This window comes from Homo sapiens, chromosome 12, assembly GCF_000001405.40.
Source record: "Homo sapiens chromosome 12, GRCh38.p14 Primary Assembly".
NCBI classification, from domain to species: Eukaryota; Metazoa; Chordata; class Mammalia; order Primates; family Hominidae; genus Homo; species Homo sapiens.
In genome coordinates this window covers 20996901-21017234 of record NC_000012.12, presented here as the reverse complement: position 1 = coordinate 21017234, position 20334 = coordinate 20996901, and the positions used below count along the sequence as shown (strand labels likewise).

The window sequence follows — 20334 nt, the reverse complement described above, 5'->3', positions numbered from 1 at the left end:
CACATTTTAAATTCTTCCTAAAAAAATAATTACAGTCATCCCTTAGTGTCCATGGGGTATTGCTTCTAGGATGCTCTGTAGATACCAAGATTTGTGGATGTTCAAGTTCCTTAAGTAAAAAGGTGTAATACTGCATATAACCTATCCCCTATCCATACCCTCTTGTATACTTTATATCAAATCTAGATAACGTCTAATACTTAATATAATGTAAATACTATGTAAATAGTTGTTATTCTGTGTTGCTTTTATTTGTATTATTTTTACAATTGTATTGCTACTTTTTAATTTTTATATTTTTTGAATATATCTTGCATCCACGGTTGGCTGAATCCATGGATGTGGGAACTGTGTATAGAGAAGGTCATCTACACATGAAGCTATATTCCAGAAAGACTAAAGATGAGATTTGAAGTCACAAGATTCAAGAAACAGAGGTAAGCAAAGAAACAAAACTGATAATGATGTTCAAATAAGTGCTGTTAAACAGGTGCAAAGTTTAACAAAAATATGAAGGATCAATTTATTAACAAAAGGAGACATTCAGTGAATTAAACTTTAAAACTAATAACATTCTAATTCTAAAATCCTTGATGATTTCATTGAGCCTGAGAGGTGAAAGAGTGAAGGACATGTAAAGTGTAATATCTTTGAATCACAAATATTTTGAACTGATTTAAAGAGATGTCTTCCTTTGACAATTACTTTTAAAATATTATTTAGTTAAGCATATTGTAAATACAGTTACATTAGAAACAAAAATCGTATAAAATATTTGCAGTTTATGTAACAGACAATTGGGAGGTCCCTCTAAATAATTAGAAAGTGAAAAGAAGAGGTAAATTTAGCAGAGACTGTGAGCTAGCAATACATAAGAAAAAAATTTCAATTATTATTTAAAACTTCACTATTGTTGCAGAAATACAAATTAAAATGAAGGCAACAAAGCAATATCTTCAACGTTCCCCCAAAAAGACTTTAACCCCTCAATTGTGTACCCCGTTAAACACTAGAATCTAGTGTAGGTTGCTCCTATACAGTCCCTCCCTCCTAAAACCATAAGAATTATAGTCCTCCCTCAGCCTTTCTTCACACAGGGGCACCTTGAGGCAAGGGAGGTAAAGCTTCACAAGGCATTAATTTGCAAACAATGAGTTTGTGTAGGATTAGAGTTTTTCAACATCATCACTATAGACATTTTGGGAAGGATTGTTCTTTGTTGGTAAGTCTGTCCAGTGCATTGCACAATGTTTAACAGCATCCCTGGCCTCTACCCCTGGGTACCAGTAGCATCCTCCCTTCCTCAGCTTATTTATGGCAACTAAAAATGCCTTCAGATATTGCCAAATTGCTCATGAGGGACAAATTTACACCTGGCTGAGAGCCAAGTGTTAAAAACAGTTTTTTTTTAACATATGCAAGTATGGTTATTAAAATAGAAAATAAAAAGCTACCTATTTCGAAGCTTCCATCAATTAAACCAACAAGAGAAGAGGATATCTCAAATCTCCTTTCTATTTGAGTGGTTGATATTTTCATAAAAATTCCAGCTAGTGCTTTAGCAACATAGCTGAATGACAGGAGTGTCAAGAAGATCTGAAAAACAGCAGAAAGAAAAGAGAAAATTGATTAATTAAAGAACTATATAATGTTTATAGGTACGTGGAATTAAAATAGTTTTTTTCTTTACTTACAAACATTATTTTTATCTTAAAAAGCATACTCATCTTTTTTCCTGTACAAGTTGGAACTTGTCAGCCCTATAACTTTTTTTTTAGTGATTTTTTTTAGTTCATGAGTTTTGGGGGTACAGGTGGTTTTGGTTACATGGAGAGGTTCTTTAGTGGTGATTTCTGAGATTTTAGTACACTTGTCACCCAAGGAGTGTACACTGTACCCCATATGTAGTGTCACCCTCATTCCCCTCCCAACCATTCCCCCGAGTCCCCAGAGTCCATTATACTACTGTTATGCCTTTGCATCCTCATTGCTTAGCTCCCTCTTATAACTGAGAACATACAATATTTGGTTTCCCATTCCTGAGTTACTTCATTTAGAATAATGGTCTCCAGTTCCATCCAAGTTGCTGCAAAAGACATTATGTCATTCCTTTTTATGGCTGAGTAGTATTCCAAGGTGTATATATGCCACATTTTCTTTTCTTGTTTTTATTTTTATTATTTATTTTTTATTTTACTTTAAGTTCCAGGATACATGTGCAGAAAATGCAGGTTTGTTACATAGGTATATGTGTTCCATGGTGGTTTGCTGCACCTATTGACCCATCCTCTCAGTTCTCTCCCCTCGCCCCCCAACTCCCAATAGGCCCTGGTATGTGTTGTTCCCCTCACTGTGTCTATGTGTTCTCACTGCTCACCTCCCACTTACGAGTGAGAATATGCGGTGTTTGGTTTTCTGTTCCTGTGTTAGTTTGCTGAGGATGATGGCTTCCAGCTTCATTCATGTCCCTGCAAAGGACATGATCTCATTCCTTTTTATGGCTCTGTAGTATTCCATGATGTATATGTACCACATTTTCTTTATCCAGTCTAACATTGATGGGCATTTGGGTCGGTTCCATGACTTTCCCATTGTAAATAGTGTTGTAATAAACATACTTGTGCATGTGTCTTTAGAGTAGAATGATTTATAATACTTTGGGTATATACTCAGTAATGGGATTGCTGGGTCAAATGGTATTTCTGATTCTAGATCCTTGAGGAATTGTCATACTGTCTCCCACAATGATTGAAGTAATTTACTTTCCTATCAACAGTGTAAAAGCGTTCCTATTTCCCCACAGCCTCACATCTTTTGTTTCTTGACTTTTTAATAATCGCCATTCTGACTGGCATGAAATGGTATCTCATTGTGGTTTTGATATGCATTTCTCTAATGATCAGTGATGTTGAGCTTTTTATCATGTTTCTTGGCCATATAAATGTTTTCTTTTGAGAAGTGTCTTTCATATTCTTTGCTCACTTTCTGATGGGTTATTTTTTCTTGTACATTTTTGCAATCTACCCATCTGACAAATGTCTAATATCCTATAACAGTATTATCATTACACTAGTAAAGCATGATTTTCTAACTTGGTGACAATATTCGATTGTTAGAGGAGTATAATCAGGGTTGTTATTTTTAAATTAATATCATTAACTGATTTATAGGAAGCTAGACACTGTTCTCAGATGGCCACAATGGTGAGCTATTTTTTATTTCCATGTGAATAGCATAGGCTAACTGGGAGGGGGGTGGTGGTACATTCGCAAAGGTAGCATTTCCAGGAGCCAGCTAAAATATTGAACTTTGTGGAGGCAAAGAGGAATTTTATGACCAACAGAAGTGACTGTATCAATGTGAGATGTAGTGGTTATAGATGTTTTCATTTCCAATTTTATTTTAACAAAATGTATTGATTCATCCTTTCTCTTAAAGCTCACATCTACATCCTTACCCTATTCCTTTAGCCCTACTATTAAACTATTACCCACTTCTGAACTTCAGGTTTGTGTTCCCCCCAAATTTTTATGCTGAAACCCAAATTTCCAGTGTGGTGATAATTGGAGATGGAGCATTTTAGGGGTACTTGGTCACAAGAGTAGAACACCCTAATAATAAGAGAAATGAGAGATTCTCGCCCTCTCTCTATGCCATATGAGGACACAGTGAGAAGACAGCCATCTGCAAACCAGAAAGAGGCCCTCATCAGAATTCAGTTATGCTGGCACCCTGATCTCAGACTTCCCAGCCTTCAGAAATGTGAGAAATAAAGTTCTGTTCTTTAGTTACCAATCTTTGCTATTCCACCTTTCTAAATTAAGAGACCCTTTCTTATCACCTTCCATATTCCCAGTGGTTTGCACCACCACGTCTTGCCTCAATTACTGCAATAGCCTCTTGATACATCTTTCTAGTTCTGCACAAGTCTGCCCAATGGCATCTTCTCAAAACAGTAGCTAAAGAAATCCTTTCAAAATAATTTAAAAATAAATAGATCATGCTACCACTCAGTGTCTTCCCATGTGCCTTATAGCAATATCAAGCCTTTCCAATGACCTACAAGACCATGAATAACCTATCTTCTCATCTGAGAGGAGTCAATTCTGACAGCTTGTACATACAGAAGTACATACAGTCTTTGTGTCAGAGAATAGTAATGAAAATTGTTCAATCATAATCATTTCAGAGACTATTATGGGCACCTCTTTTCATACAAACTAGAAAACCAAAAAAAAAAAAAAAAAAACAAAACAGATGGATTCCTGGAAATATACAACCTCCCAACATTAAACCAGAAATAAATTGAAATCCTTTTTTTTTTTTTTTTGAGATGGGGTCTCGCTGTGTTGCCCAGGCTGGAGTGCAATGGCACGATCTCAGCTCCTGAACCTCCACCTCCTGGGTTCAAGCAATTCTCCTGCCTCAGCCTCCTGAGTAGCTGGGATTATAGGCATGTGCCACCACGCCCGTCTAGTTTTTGTATTTTTAGTAGAGACGGGGTTTCACCTTATTGGGCAGGCTGGTCTCGAACTTCTGACCTCATGATCCACCTGCCTCGGCCTCCCAAAGTACTGGGATTACAGGTATGAGCCACCACGCCTGGCCCTGAAATATTAAATAAGACTGATAGGCAACTAGCTAGATTAATAAAAAAAGCTAAGAGGGAAGATCCAAATAAACACAATAGGAAATGACAAATGACACCAACCCCAGAGAAGAACAAAAAAGCCTCAGAGACTATTATGAGCACCTCTTTTCACACAAACTAGAAAATCAAAAAAAAAAAAAAAAAAAAAGGATGGATTCCTGGAAATACACAACCTCCCAACATTGAACCAGGAGAAATCCTAAATAGACCAATAACATGGCAAATATTAAATTATTAATAAAAATCCTGCAATCTAAAATAAAAACTGGACCAGAGAGATTCACAGTCAACTTCTATTGAATGTATAAAAAAGAGCAGGTACCAATCCTACTAAAATTATTCCAAAAAATTGAGGAGCAGGGACTCCTTCCTAACCCATGCGATGATAAAATGGATGCTCGCTACGTTGTCGAGAAAAGGGAACACTTATACACTGCTGGTGAGTATGTAAATTAGTTCTTCCACTGTGGAATACGGTTTAGAGATTTCTCAAACAACTTAAAACAGAACTAGCATTTGACTCAGCAATCCCATGATTGGATATATACCCAGAGAAATATGAATTATTCTACTCAAATGATGTATGTATTTGTATGTTCATTGCAGCTATATTCACAATAGCAAATATATAGGACCTAGAAGTCCATCAAGGGTGGACTGGATAAAGAAAATATGGTACAGACATACTATGAAATACTATGTAGCCATAATAAATAAAACAATTTTATTTGCAGCAATGTGGATTGAACTGGAGGTCATTATCCTAAGCAAATTAATGCAGCAACAGAAAAACAAATGCTGCATGCCCTCACTTACAAGTGGTCCTAAACATTAAGTACACATGGATGCAAAGAGGGAAACCATAGTCACCAGGGCCTACTTGAGGCTGGAAGTTGGGAGGAAAGTGAGGGTTAAAAGCTACCACCTATGGAGTACTGTGCTCACTACCTGGGTAATGAAATCATTTGTAGATCAAACCCCCGGAACATGCAATTTACCCGTGAAGGTAAGCCGTGCATGTACACACAAACTTAGTATAAACGTTAAAAAAAAGAACTTATGAAAAAAAAAAAAAGGAAAAAATGTGGGAGGGAGTGATTTCAGCCAAATGACAGAATAATAAGCCTGGGACCCTCATTCTCCCATAAGACAGATTTAACAACAAATAAACTAAATGCCTTTGTGGGAACTCCAGAAACCAATTACAAGGTTTCTGCACCAATAAGCATAAATACAACATGGAAAGAAACATCATGATTCTCATTATTCTGTCTCACTAGAGACCCTCCCATCTCACACTGTTCCATGCAGTGGGGATGAAGCATCTAAATTTCCTATGTCCAATGTTTTCACCTTTAGGGTGACTGCCAGAGGCCTAGTCTCTGTCTTGCCTATATTCAAGTACTGATAGAAATGAAGAAGCACGATGAGTATCTCTCAGAACAAAGACAATAAATGTGCATCAGAATCTGCACTACCACAGAAAGACTAGGTGCAAAGCCAGTACCATAATTTACTGTGACACTAAAGAGGTCACAGTATCACAGACATCAGAGAGATGAGAGAAGGTTTTTTTTGTTTTGTTTTTTGGTTTTTGTTTTTGTTTTTTTAAGACGGAGTCTCGCTCTGTCACCCAGGCTGGAGTGCAGTGGCGCGATCTCGGCTCATTGCAAGCTCCGCCTCCCGGGTTCACGCCATTCTCCTGCCTCAGCCTCCCGAGTAGCTGGGACTACAGGCGTCTGCCACCACGCCTGGCTAATTTTTGTGTGTGTTTTTTTAGTAGAGACGGGCTTTCACCATATTGGCCAGGCTGGTCTTGAACTCCTAACCTCAGGTGATCTGCCACCCTCGACCTCCAGAAGTGCTGGGATTACAGGAGTGAGCCACCTCTCCCGGCCAGAGAGAGGGTCTTGAATAGAAACCAGCAAACCTTTTCAAATAGAAGATTATGTATGAGCCAAAGCACAGAGAGAGGAATGCATACCCAGACAAACCTGAGAGGGCTCCAGAATCTCTCTAGCCATGTAGAATGGAAAAAGTTCTCCCTATGGAAAACTGGACTACAAAGTCTGAAAAGTTGTTGGATTTATCAAATGCAGACTTTTTTCATGAAAAAATAACAAGGCATATAAAGAGAGACCCCCCCAACAAATTCAAAGGAGTAAATTAAATCTTCAGAAAATGACCTGAAAGAAATGAAGATACAGAAATTGCCATATGACAAGTTCAAAATTACTGTCAAGTATGCTCAATAAATTACAAGAGAGCACATATAGACAACTAAATGAAATTAGAAAAATAACCAATAAACAAAATGAGAATATCAACAAAGATATGGTAACTACAAAGAACCAAACAGAAACTCTGGAATCAAAAATAAAATAACTGAATTGAAAAATCCACTAGAGGCTTAACAAAAGACTTGACCAAATATAAGAATCAGTGAAACCAAAGAAAAAACTTTGAAAATTACTGTGGCAGAGAAGAAAAAGAAAAAAACATGTGAAGAACTAAAGGAATGATGGAACACCATTGATCAGAACAACACATGCATTATGAGAGTATTAGAGGAGAAGAAAAAAAAAGGTGCAGAGAATTTATTTGAATAAATTACATCCCCAAATTTTTCCAATCTGAGGAAAGTAATGAACCTAAAAATTTAAGAATCTCAAAAAATTCCAAATAGGATAAATCTAATGAGATCCACATCAAGACATTTTGTTGTCAAACTGTCGAAAGTCACAGACAAACAGAATCTTAAAAGCAGCAACAGAAAAGCTACCTATGAAGTATAAGAAGCTTCTTGCCAGGTGTGGTGGCTCACGCCTGTAATCCCAGCACTTTGGGAGGCCGAGGCGGGCAGATCACGAGGTCAGGAGATCGAGACCATCCTGGCTATCATGGTGAAACCCCGTCTCTACTAAAAAAAACCAAAAAAAAAATTAGCTGGGCGTGGTGGCGGGCACCTGTAGTCCCAGCTACTCGGGAGGCTGAGGCAGGAGAATGGCATGAACCCGGAAGGCGGAGCTTGCAGTGAGCCGAGATCACGCCACTGCACTCCAGCCTGGCTGAAGCGAGACTCCGTCTCAAAAAAAAAAAAAAAAAAAAAAAAAAAAAAAAGGCTTCTTGTAGAGTATCAGCAGATTTCTTACAAGAATTCTTTCAGGATACAAGCGAATGAGATAATATATTTAGTGAACTGTTGTGGGAAAATCCCTCAGACCAACAATACACATTTTTATTTGATTATTTTTTGTGTTTGCTGTTTATCATCCTTTTCCTTCAACTTTTAGTACCCACTTCAGCATTCCGTTTTTCAAATATTATTTCCCTGTCCTCTCTCTATTCTTCTTCTGGAATTCCTAGAATTTGTGTGTTAGTTCACTTGATGGTATATCACAGGTGCTTAAGTTTTGTTTATTTTTCTTCATATATTTCTTTTTCTACTTATCAGACTGAAATGTTCAGTTGGCCTATCTTAAAGTTTGATGATTCTGTGTTCTGCCTGCTTAAGTTTTCCACTGAACTCTTGTCTTGGTCAGTTCAGGCTGCTATAACAAATTACCATAGACTGGATGGCTTGAAAAACAAACACGTATTTCTCATAGTTTTGAAAGCTGGGATGTCTGAGATCAGGGTGCAAACATAATTGAGTTCTGATGAAGGCCCTCTTTTAGGTTACAGGCAGCTAACTTCTCCTTGTATCTTCACAGGGAGGAAAAATTTAGTTAGCTCTCTGGCAGTTTCTGTTTTTATTATTATTAAATGTTAAGTTTAGGGATACATGTGCAGAATGTACAGATTTGTTACATAGGTATACACGTGCCATGGTGGTTTGCTGCACCCACCAACCTATCATCTACATTAGGTATTTCTCCTAATGCTATCCCTCCCCTAGTCCCCCACCCCCCCAACAGGCACCAGTGTGTGGTGTTCCACTACCACTGTCCATGTGTTCTCATTGTCTAACTCCCACTTATGAGTGAGAACATGTGGTGTTTGGTTTTCTGTTCCTGTGTTAGTTTGCTGAGAATGACGGTTTCTAGCTTCATCCATTTCCCTGCAAAGGACATGAACTCATCATTTTTTATGACTGCATAGTATTCTACTGTGTATATGTGTCACATTTTCTTTATCCAGTCTATCATTGATGGGCATTTGGGTTGGTTCCAAGTCTCTGCTATTGTGAACACTGCTGCAATAAACATGCATGTGCAGTGTCTTTTAGTGGAATGGTTTATAATCCTTTGAGTATATACCCAGTAATGGGATTGCTGGGTCAAATGGTATTTCTGGTTCTAGATCCTTGAGGAATTGCCACACTATCTCCCACAATGGTTGGACTAATTTACACTCCCACCAACATGTAAAAGCATTTCCATTTCTCTACATCCTCTCCAGCATCTTTGTTTCCTGACTTTTTAATGATCATCATTCTAACTGGCGTGAAATGGTATCTCACTGTGCTTTTGATTTGCATTTCTCTAACGACCGGTGAAGATGAGCATTTTTTCATATGTTTTTTGGCCACATAAATGTCTTCTTTTGAGACATGTCTGTTCATATCCTTCACCTGCTTTTTGATAGGGTTGTTTCTTTTTTTTCTTGTAAATCTGTTTAAGTTCTTTGTAGATTCTGGATATTAGCCCTTTGTCAGATGAATACATTGCAAAAATTTTCTCCCATTCTGTAGGTTTCCTGTTCACTCTGATGATAGTTTCTTTTGCTGTGCAGAAGCTCTTTAATTAAATTCCATTTGTTAATTTTGGCTTTTGTTGCCATTGCTTTTGTATTTTAGTCATAAAGTCTATGCCCATGCCTATGTCCTGAATGGTATTGCCTAGGTTTTCTTCTAGGGTTTTTATAGTTTTAGGTCTTACATTTAGGTCTTAAATCAATCTTGAGTTAATTTTTGTATAAGGCGTAAGGAAGGAGTCTCGTTTCAGTTTTCTGCACACGGCTAGCCAGTTTTGTCCATGTCATTTATTAAACAGGGAATTGTTTCCCCGTTGCTTGTTTTTGTCAGGTTTGTCAAAGATCAGATGGTCGTAGATAAGTGACATTATTTCTGAGGCCTCTATTCTGTTCCATTGGTCTATACATCTGTTTTGGTACCAGTACCATGCTGTTTTTGGTTACTGTAGCCTTGTAGTACAGTTTGAAGTCAGGTAGCATGATGCCTCCAGCTTTGTTCTTTTTGCTTAGTTTTTCTTGGCTGTACAAGCTCTTTTTTGGTTCTATATGAAATTTAAAGTAGTGTTTTCTAATTCTGTGAAGAAAGTCAATGGTAGCTTGATGGAGATAGCATTGAATCTGTAGATTACTTTGGTCAGTATGGCCATTTTCACAATATTGAGTCTTCCTATCCATGAACATGAAATGTTTTTCCATTTGTTTGTGTCCTTTCTTATTTCCTTAAGCAGTGGTTTGTAGTTCTTCTTGAAGATGTCCTTCACATCCCTTGTAAGTTGTACTCCTAGGTATTTTATTCTCTTTGTAGCAATTGTGAATGGAAGTTCACTCATGATTTGGCTCTCTGTTTGTCTATTATTGGTGTATAGGAATGCTTGTGATTTTTGCACATTGATTTTGTGTCCTGAGACTGCTGAAGTTGCTTATCAGCTTAAGGAGATTTTGGGCTGAGACGATGGGGTTTTCTAAATATTCAATCATGTCATCTGCAAACATAGACAATTTGACTTCCTCTCTTTATATTTGAATACCCTTTATTTCTTTCTCTTGCCCGATTGCCTTGACAAGAACTTCCAATACTATGTTGAATAGGAATGGTGAGAGAGGACATGCTTGTCTTGTGCGGGTTTTCAAAGAGAATGCTTCCAGTTTTTGCCCATTCAGTATGATATTGGCTGTAGGTTTGTCACAAATAACATCTTATTATTTTGAGATATGTTCCATCAATACCTAGTTTATTGAAAGCTTTTAGCATGAAGTGGTGTTGAATTTTATTGAAGGCCTTTACTGCATCTATCGAGATAATCATATGTTTTTTGTCATTGGTTCCATTTATGTGATGGATTATGTTTATTGATTCACGTATGTTGAACCAGCCTTGCATCCCAGGGATGAAGCCAACTTGATCGTGGTTGATAAGCTTTTTGATGTGCTGCTGGATTCGGTTTGCCAGTATTTTATTGAGGATTTTCATATCAACGTTTGTCAGGGATATTGGCCTGAAATTTTCTTTTTTGTTGTGTCTCTACCGGGCTTTGGTATCAAGATATTGCTGGCCTCATAAAATGAGTTAGGAAGGATTCCCTCTTTTTCTATTGTTTGGAATAGTTTCAGAAGAAATGGTACCAGCTCCTCTTTTTACCTCTGGTAGAATTCAGCTGTGAATCTGTTCTGGTCCTGAGCTTTTTTTGGTTGGTAGGCTATTAATTACTTCCTCAATTTCAGAACTTGTTATTGTTCTATTCAGGGATTCAACTTCTTCCTGGCTTAGTCTTGAGAGGGTTTATGTGTCCAGGAATTTATCCACTTTGTCTAGATTTTCTAGTTTATTTGCATAGAGGTGTTTATAGTGTTCTTTGATGGTAGTTTGTATTTCTGTGGGATCAGTGGTGGTATCTCATTTAACATTTTTTATTATGTCTATTTGATTCTTCTCCCTTTTCTTCTTTATTAGTCTGGCTAGTGGTCTATCTATTTTGTTAATCCTTTCAAAAAACCAGCTCCTGGATTCACTGATTTTTTTGAAGGGTTTTTTGTGTTTCTATCTCCTTCAGTTCTGCTCTGATCTTAGTTATGTCTTGTCTTCTGTTAAGTTTTGAATTTGTTTGCTCTTGCTTCTCTAGTTCTTTTAATTGCGATGTTAGGATGTCGATTTTAGATCTTTCCTGCTTTCTCCTGTGGACATTTAGTGCTATAAGTTTCCCTCTACACACTGCTCTAGCTGTGTCCCAGAGATTCTGGTACGTTGTGTCTTTGTTCTCATTGGCTTCAAAGAAATTATTCCTGCTTTGATCTTGTTACTTACCCAGCAGTTATTCAGGAGCAGGTTGTTCAGTTTCCATATAGCTGTGGAGTTTTGAGTGAGTTTCTTAATCCTGAGTTCTAATTTGATTGCACTGTGGTCTGAGAGACTGTTTGTTATGATTTCTGTTCTTTTGCATTTGCCGAGGAGTGTTTTACTTCTTATGTGGTCAATTTTAGAATAAGTGTGATGTGGTGCTGAGAAGAATGTATATTCTGTTGATTTGGGGTGAAGAGTTCTGTAGATGTTTATTAGGTCTGCTTGGTCCAGAGCTGAGTTCATGTCCTGAATATCTTTGTTAATTTTCTGTCTCATTGATCTGTCTAATATTGACAGTGGGGTGTTAAAGTCTACCACTATTATTGTGTGGGACGCTAAGTCTCTTTGTAGGTCTTTAAGAACTTGCTTTATGAATCTGGGTGTTCCTGTATTAGGTGCATATACATTTAGGATAGTTAGCTCTTCTTGTTGCATTGATTCCTTTACCAATATGTAATGCCCTTATTTGTCTCTTTTGATCTTTGTTGGTTTAAAGTCTGTCTTATCAGAGACTAGGACTGCAACCCCTGCTTTCCATTAGTTGGTAAATATTCCTCCATCCCTTTAGTTTGAGCCTATGTGTGTCTTTGCACATGAGATGGGTCGACCAAATCCAGCACACCAATGGGTCTTGACTCTTCAACCAATTTGCCAGTCTGCGTCTTTCATTGGGGCATTTAGCCTGTTTACATTTAAGGTTAGTTTTGTTATGTGTGAATTTGATCCTTTCATTATGATGATAGCTGGTTAATTTGCCCTTTAGTTGATGCAGTTTCTTCATAGTGTCAATGGTCTTTACAATTTTTTTTTTTTTTTTTTTTTGCAGTGGCTGGTACCAGTTTTTCCTTTCCATATTTAGTGCTTCCTTCAGGAGCTCTTGTAAGGCAGGCCTGGTGATTACAAAATCTCTCAGCATTTGCTGGTCTGTAAAGGATTTTGTTTCTCCTTTGCTTATGAAGCTTAGTTTGGCTGGATATGAAATTTTGGGTTGAAAATTCTTTTATTTAAGAATGTTGAATATTGGCTCCCACTCTCTTCTGGCTTATAAGGTTTCTGCCAAGAGATACTAATTTATGATATAGACTGGAACAATTTTTAAAGCAAAATATGTGGTAAAAAATAATTGTTTAGAAAATTTTTTGAAGTATTTGTTCATCAACTAATTGAACCCTATTCACACTCTCCATTTACACATTTTTTTTTCTTGTCACTTCAGGAAGAGCAGGAACAGAATTAAGGGCCAAGGCTCTTCCCGCTGTTTCTGTAAGATACATTAAGGCTGAGTTTAAGGTATGCATTATAGAGTGAAATATTATAAATCAGTTTTCTGGTACAAAAACTGGATTGCGTACCCTTGCACAAAGATTTAAATCTGTGTTTAACTATTAGCCTTGTTCCTTTAAAAATTAAAGTTCTTGTTTTTATAAATCTACATTGGTTTTATTTAATTTTACTTTACATCATTTTATTATATTATGACAGCCACTTTATAAAATTTTTGATTTTTTTTTTTCTGTATTAGCTAATGACAATTATATGCCTGTCAGTAGTCACTCTGGCAAAATAAATTTCTTATGTTTAATTCCTTTTACATTTTTACAGTGTTTGTCATTTGTATTTTCTGTGCTTTTTAATTTGATTAGGATCAAATTTACTGTCATAATCCCATCCTTTTGTGATATCCTAGCAGTTGTCTGTGTCATTAGACTTAGTTGCTGACAAAGTTTAAAGTGCTTTATTTAAAAAATACACTCTTTGGTTATAAGTTGTTTTCTTAAATTATTATAATACATTGTTTTAAAGTACACTAGAGTTTTCAAAATGGTAGACTTTGACATAATTTTTAAATCAGTCACCTGTACTGTGCTTAAAGACGTGAGGTGTAAGCTCCTAGCACTCAAAGCACTCTGACCTGAAATCTTCACAAACATGTCTTCAACTTTACTTTTGTCTCTTGGAACCAATACTTCTGGTATTAGTCTTGGTATCCCTCTTCAGCTATTATATATTTGTTCTATTAAAATTCACATTTTTTTCCCCAAAGCTTTTTTTCTTCCCCAAGATGGCAGATTAAAGGCAGTGTTAGCACGTCTCTACCACTTGGAAAGAAAAAATAGTGTATGGAGATTCACACTGCGATTTTTTTTTCCCAAAAAGCAACTCAGGAACTTAAGAGGAAAATGAAATCCACAGACCCTTTGAAAGCAGCAGCAGGCTGCAGCATGCAGCCTGAGCCAGGTAAAAATCTGTAAGTCCCCAGAGTGACACTGCCTGCAGTGTATACACTCCCACTGGGGAACCTAGAAATTCAGGGCATGCAGGAAGATCATAACTCTACACAGCACTGGAATTGATTTAGGGAGCAATGAGAAATAGAAAAGTAGGAGTGGCAGTGGAAAGTGCCTTGCATGCATTCCCAGTACCCAGTGTGTACTAAGGAAGCCATCCCATATTGTGCCTCACAGGGGACCCTGTGGAAGTCTCTTAACTAATCCAGCCAGTGGTCACAGGTTGAAAGAAGCTCCCAAATGAATTTTGTGATATACCCTCAAGTGGAGAACTCCCTGGGCCGGAATTGGGCGGCAGGGGTGGGGGCAAGTTGGAAGTGTGATGCAGCCATGAGCAAGGGAGCTGGGCTCCCTAGCTGTGTGGACAGACTGGGAGGGGCGTGGCCTGAAAGCTTCAGTTGCTATCTCTGTGGGGAAAGTTTATGGTTGGAGGCAGTTTTGACAAGATGGCCTTAATTTCTGCTATCAGCAGAAAACTTTTGGTGTGAAATCTGCCTTACCAAGTGCCTGGAAGCAGGGTGGAGATTACTGCTGCCCTGCCTGCTACACCCTGCTAGCTTTGCAAACTCTTCTGTGCAGCAGAGGCAGCTACACTCCTCTCTGGAACATTATCCGAGTGGCCAAGGAACCACCCTCTTACTCTTACAATGGCTGCTGCTTGCCTAACACACCAAGAGCCGGAGTGTTAACCTGCCCCAATCAGCCCCTACCTTGCTTGGCCCCTCCACTCACCTTGGTAGCTTAACACAAAGAATAGGCACTTTTGAGAGCTTTATGGCCTCGCCTATCACATAAGAAACCTGAGTACCTTCCCTCAGTAACATAAGGCAAGTACAAATCCCACCACTACTAGCATAGCTAGTGCTTGTTTCTAAGTGCCACCTCCTGACTGGAAGCCAACCAACATAGTCCCTTACAGCATCTCCAGGCAGAATAGCACTGCACCCAGGAAGGAGAAAACTTGTGCATGACCTCAGCTATCACCATTTTCTGCACCACGCTGGCTAACCAAGAGGGCGAGTCTGTCCATGTGGCCAGCTTTTTACTACTACAACCTGCATTTGAGAAAGCCAACACAGTAAGACTACTTATAACCAAGGAATATCACAGAGTCTATGTTATTTCCCTGCACTCCCATCAGAGCTGGTGCTGGGATCCACTGCTGAGAGGCAGGTCACATTGCTGGTTCCCTTGCAGACATTCTGCAGCACCAGCCTGGAGTATGAGAGCTCCACTGGGTGGCTAGACCCAGAGGAGTTACAGCATTCACCATAGTCTGTCTCTCAAGCACTCCTCCTAGGGGAGGGGAAGTGCACCACATCAAGGGAACACCCCGTGGGACAAAAGAACCCAGACAGCAGGCCTTGAGTCCCAGATCTTTCAACTGTTGGGAAGTTTCTTTCAGCAGCAGAACATTTGCAGTGCAGGGCTCGGCAGAGAAAGTCTGCAGCTCTAACCCAACAGTCAGGGAGTCCTGGTACTTGTGAAGAATCTTGGAGAAGGGACTTCTTTTGCCTCTCATCCACTACTGCAGATATAGCTAGGGCTGTTAACACAGGAGCTTGGTATGGATACACCTATAGACAGCCTTTGTGGAACACTTCAGGGTGATTGCATCCCCACAGGAGGAACACCTCCAGGCACAGGTTTGCACAAGAGGTAGAGTCACAATTCTTCTCTATGTAGAACATCAACATTCTTGCAGATGAGAAGAGGTACCTGTCTGATATAAATAGCCATAACATTGGGTCAAGGGTGTGTCTGGAATGGGAATAGCTTTCCTGTAGACCTGAGAGAGCTGCTGAGGTGGATATGGTCCTTCTCTCTGTTAAGACCTCAGTGAATTTCACTGAGATCACCCTCATCCACCTTTGTCAAGAATAGGACCTCTGCCCACCATCGGGTATCGCAATTACCCACCCAATTTAGCCACAGCTGGTTTTTAAACATGGACACCTCCCACACTGGACTAAAGCCTGAACTATTTAACCCAGTAACTAAAATACATAGGAAAAAATAAACAAAAAAGTACACACCAGAGTGGAATGAGATAAGCTTCAAGAGACCTCTGTCATTCCGACTCTATAGGAGATTGTGAACTTGCTTACACACTGGGCACATTGCTACTACAACTAGCATCAGAGAAAGCCATCATACAAAGACTCTCTATAACCAAGGAATTCATACAGAGTTTTTACCCATTAAAGTACAAAGAGCCAAATTAAGCCACAGTAAACTACAAACATTAAAGTCACATACTTGGAGGGGGGAAAGAAATTTAAAAAAAAAAGTCAAATTAAAAATGAATTTAAGAATAATTAGGCCGGGTGCAGTGGCTCACACCTGTAGTCCCAGCACTTTGGGAGGCCAAGGCGGGTGGATCATGAGGTCAGGAGATCGAAACCATCCCGGCCAACATGGTGAAACCCCGCCTCCGCTGAAAATAGAAAAATTAGCTGGGCGTGGTGGCGAGCACCTATAATCCCAGCTACTTGGGAGACTGAGGTAGGAGAATCGCTTGAACCCAGGAGGCGGAGGTTGCAGTGAACCGACATCGTGCCACTGCACTTTAGCCTGGTGACAGAGCAAAACTCCGGAAAAAAAACAAAAAGAATAATTAGAAGAAATACTCTACCCAAATGAGAGAAAAACAAACCGAAAGACGATTTTGTTAATATGACAAAATAGGGTTCTGTAACACCCCAAAAGATTATACTAGCACTCCAGCAATTGATCCAAACCGAGATGAAATCTTTGGAATACAAAATAAAGAATTTAATAGGTTGGTTATAAAGCTACTCAAAGAGATACTTGAAAAAGGTGAAAACCTACATTAAGAAATGAAAAAAAAAATTCAGGATATGAAGGAAACATTTTATAAAGTGACAGATATCTTAAAGATAAACCAATCAGAACTTTTGGAAATGAAAGACAAATTTAGAAATTACAAAATGCAGTGAAAAGTTTCCACAATAGACTAGAACACGTAGAAGAAAAAAAAAATCAAAGCTCAAAGACTAGGCTTTTAAATTTACCCAAACAGACAAAAATAAAGGAAAAGAATAAAAATAAATGAAGTTTTCAAGATCTATGGGATTATGGAAAAGAGCCAAACCTAAGAATAATTGGTGTTCCTGAGGGAGAAAACAAAAAAGTCTTGGAAGCATATTTCAGGGAATAATTGAGGAAAACTTCCCTGGCCTCGCAATAAATTTAGATATTCAAATATGAGAAGCTCAAACAATTCCCGGAGATTCACTGCAAAAAGGTCATCACCAAGGTATGTAGTCATCAGGCTACATAAAGTCTGTATGAAAAAAGACTTCTGAGAGCTCTAAGTCAAAAGCATTAGGTAACCTATAAAGGAAAACCTATAAGACTAACAGCAGACTTCTCAGCACAAACCTTACTAGCCAGAATGGATGAGAGTCCTATCTTCAGGCTCCTTACACAGAATAACTGTCAGGCAGAAATTTTGTATCTGGTAAAACTAAGTTATATAAATGAAGGAGAAATAAAGTCATTTTTAGACAAACAAATGATGAGGGAATTTGTTGCTACCAGACCAGCCTTACAAAAAATTCTGAAAAGGGTTTTAAATCTTGAAACAAAAGCTTGATATGCACCAAAACAGAATTTGAAAGCATAAAACTCAAAGGGCCTCTAAAAGAATTACACAATTTAAGAAAAGTATCCAAGTAACAATTCAAATGATGAGCGGGAAAATACCTTACATCTAAATTTTAATGTTGAATGTAAGTGTCCAAAATGCTTCACTTAAGAGATACTGATCAACAGAATGTATAAAGAATCACAAACCAAATATCAACTTTCTTCACATGACTCACATAATACATAAGGATTCATAAAACTCAAGGTAAAGGGGTGAAAAAAGATATTTCATGGAAATGGAAATCAAAAGTCAGCAGAAGTAGCTATTCTTATATCAAATAAATCAGACTTTAAAGCAACAGCAGTAAAAAAGAAAGACATAGAAGATTATTATATAATGAAAGAAGGATCAATCCAACAAGAAGATATTAAATTTATATGCACCAAACAATGGAGCACCTAGATTCATAAAACAATTACTACTGGACCTAAGAAATGAGATAGACAGCAACACAATAATAGTGGATGGCTTGAAAACATCACTGACAGCACTAGACAGATTATCTAGCCAGAAAAGCAATAAAAAATGGACTTAAACTACATTCTAGAACAAATGAACCTAACAGATACACATGAATCTTACAAAACATTTTGTCCAAGAACTGCGGAATAACATTCTTGTCATCAGCACTTGGAACATTTTCCAACATAGATAATACAGTAAGACAGAAAACAAGCCTCAATAAATATTTGGAAACTCAAAATCATATCAAATATTTTCTCAGACCACAGTGGAATAAAACTAGAAATGAACTCCATAAGGAATCCCCCAAATTATACAAATACATGAAAATTAGACAATATGCTCTGGAATAATTTTTGGGTTAACAATGAAATCAAGATGGAAATTAAACTTCTTTGAAATAAACGATAATACGTCAGTTATTACATAAACGATGATATGTCAGATAATACAAGTTATCAAAACCCCATGGATACAGCAAAAGGAACTCTAACAGAAAAGCTTATAATACTACATTCCTACATTAAAAGTCTGAAAGATCACAAATTGGCTGGGTGCAGTGACTCTCCCCTGTTAATCCCAGCACTACGGGAGATTGAGGCAGATGGATCCCTTGAGACAGGGAGTTTGAGACAAGCCTGGCCAATGTGGTAAAACCCTGTATCTACTCAAAATACAAAAGTTAGTCCAGTGAGGTGGCAGGTGCCTGTAATCCCAGGTAATCAGGAGGCTGAGGCAGGATAATTGCTTGAATCAAAGAGGCGTACATTGCAGTGAGCCAAGATGGTGCCACTGCACTCCAGTCTGAGCAACGGAGCGAGTCTCTGACTCAATAAATAAATGAGAATAAAAATAAAAATAAAAAAAATCACAAAAAGACAACCTAATGTCACACCTCAAGGAACTACAGAAACAAGAACAAACTGAACCCAAAGCTAGCAGAAGAAAAAAAAAACAAAAACAAAGATAAAAGCAGGACTAAATAAAATGGAAACAAAAAAATATAAAAGATCAGTGAAACGAAAGGATGGTTCTTTGAAAAGATAAACAAATTTGATAGAACATTAACTGGATTAAACAAGAAAGGAAGACAGAAGATTCAAATTAGCTCTATTAGAAGTGAAACTGGAGACATTACAATCAATACCACAGAAATACAAAAGATCATGCAAGGCTACTATAAGCACCTCTATGCACACAAACTAGAAAACCTAGAGAAAATGGATAAATTCCAGAAAAAATACAACCATCCTAGATTAAATCAGGATAAAATACAAACCCTGAACACATTAATAACAAGCAACAAGACTGAATCAGTAATTTAAAAAATTACCAACAAAAAAAGACCAGGGCCAGATAAATTCACAGCTGAATTCTACCAGATATTCAAATAAGGATTGGTATAAACCCTACTGAAACAATTCCAAAAGACTGAGAAAGAAGAAATTCTCCTTAAATCATTCTGTGAAGCCAGTGTCACCCTTACACCAAAATCAGGAAATTATGTAATGAAAAAAGAAAACTACATACCAGTATCCCTGATGAATATAGATGTAAAAATTCTCAACAAAATAGTAGCTAATTGGATGCAACAGAAGATCAAAAAGATAATACACCATGATTATGTGGGTTTCATCCCAGAAATGCAGGGATGATTTAACATACCAAGTCAATGAATGTGATATATCACATTAACTGAAATAAAAATAAATATCATATAATTTATCTCAATAGATGCAGAAAGAGCATTTGATAAAATTCACCATTCCTTTATGATAAAAACCCTAGACAAACTATGTGTAGAAGGGACTTGCCTCAAAATAATAAAATCCATATATCACAAACCAATAGCCAACATCGTATTGAATGGGGAAAATTCAAAAGCTTTCCCCCTAACAAGAGAAAGACGACAAGGATGCCCACAATAACCAGTCCTATTCGATATATTTCTGAAAGTCTTAGCCAGAGCAATTAGGCCAGAGAAAGAAATAAAGGACAACCAGGTTGGAAAAGAGGAAGTCAAACTATCACTCTTCACTGGTGATATGATTGTATACCTAGGAAAACTCTAAAGTCTCCTCCAAAAAACCCCCAGACTTGATAAGACAATTCAGTCAAGTCTCAGATTACAAAATCAATGTATGCAAACCGGTAGCAGTGCTATACATCAACAAGGACTAAGCTGAGAATCAAAGCAAGAATTAATCACTTTTACAACAGCTGCAAA

The 20334-nt window shown here is 37.7% G+C and overlaps 2 protein-coding genes across 2 annotated transcripts in view; both read right to left on the bottom strand.

Annotated features, from left to right (window-relative positions):
* SLCO1B3-SLCO1B7 (SLCO1B3-SLCO1B7 readthrough) overlaps positions 1 to 20334 on the bottom strand; it is a 275549-nt gene that overhangs the window by 73988 nt on the left and 181227 nt on the right. The window lies entirely within an intron of this gene.
* The window catches only part of LOC124902894 (putative solute carrier organic anion transporter family member 1B7), a 150851-nt gene that overhangs the window by 35021 nt on the left and 95496 nt on the right, over positions 1 to 20334 (bottom strand). The window contains exon 2 of the mRNA XM_047429949.1: positions 1455 to 1596. Within this exon, the coding sequence (XP_047285905.1) occupies positions 1455 to 1539 (85 nt within the window). The 5' untranslated portion in view covers positions 1540 to 1596. The remainder of the gene's footprint in view (positions 1 to 1454; positions 1597 to 20334) is intronic.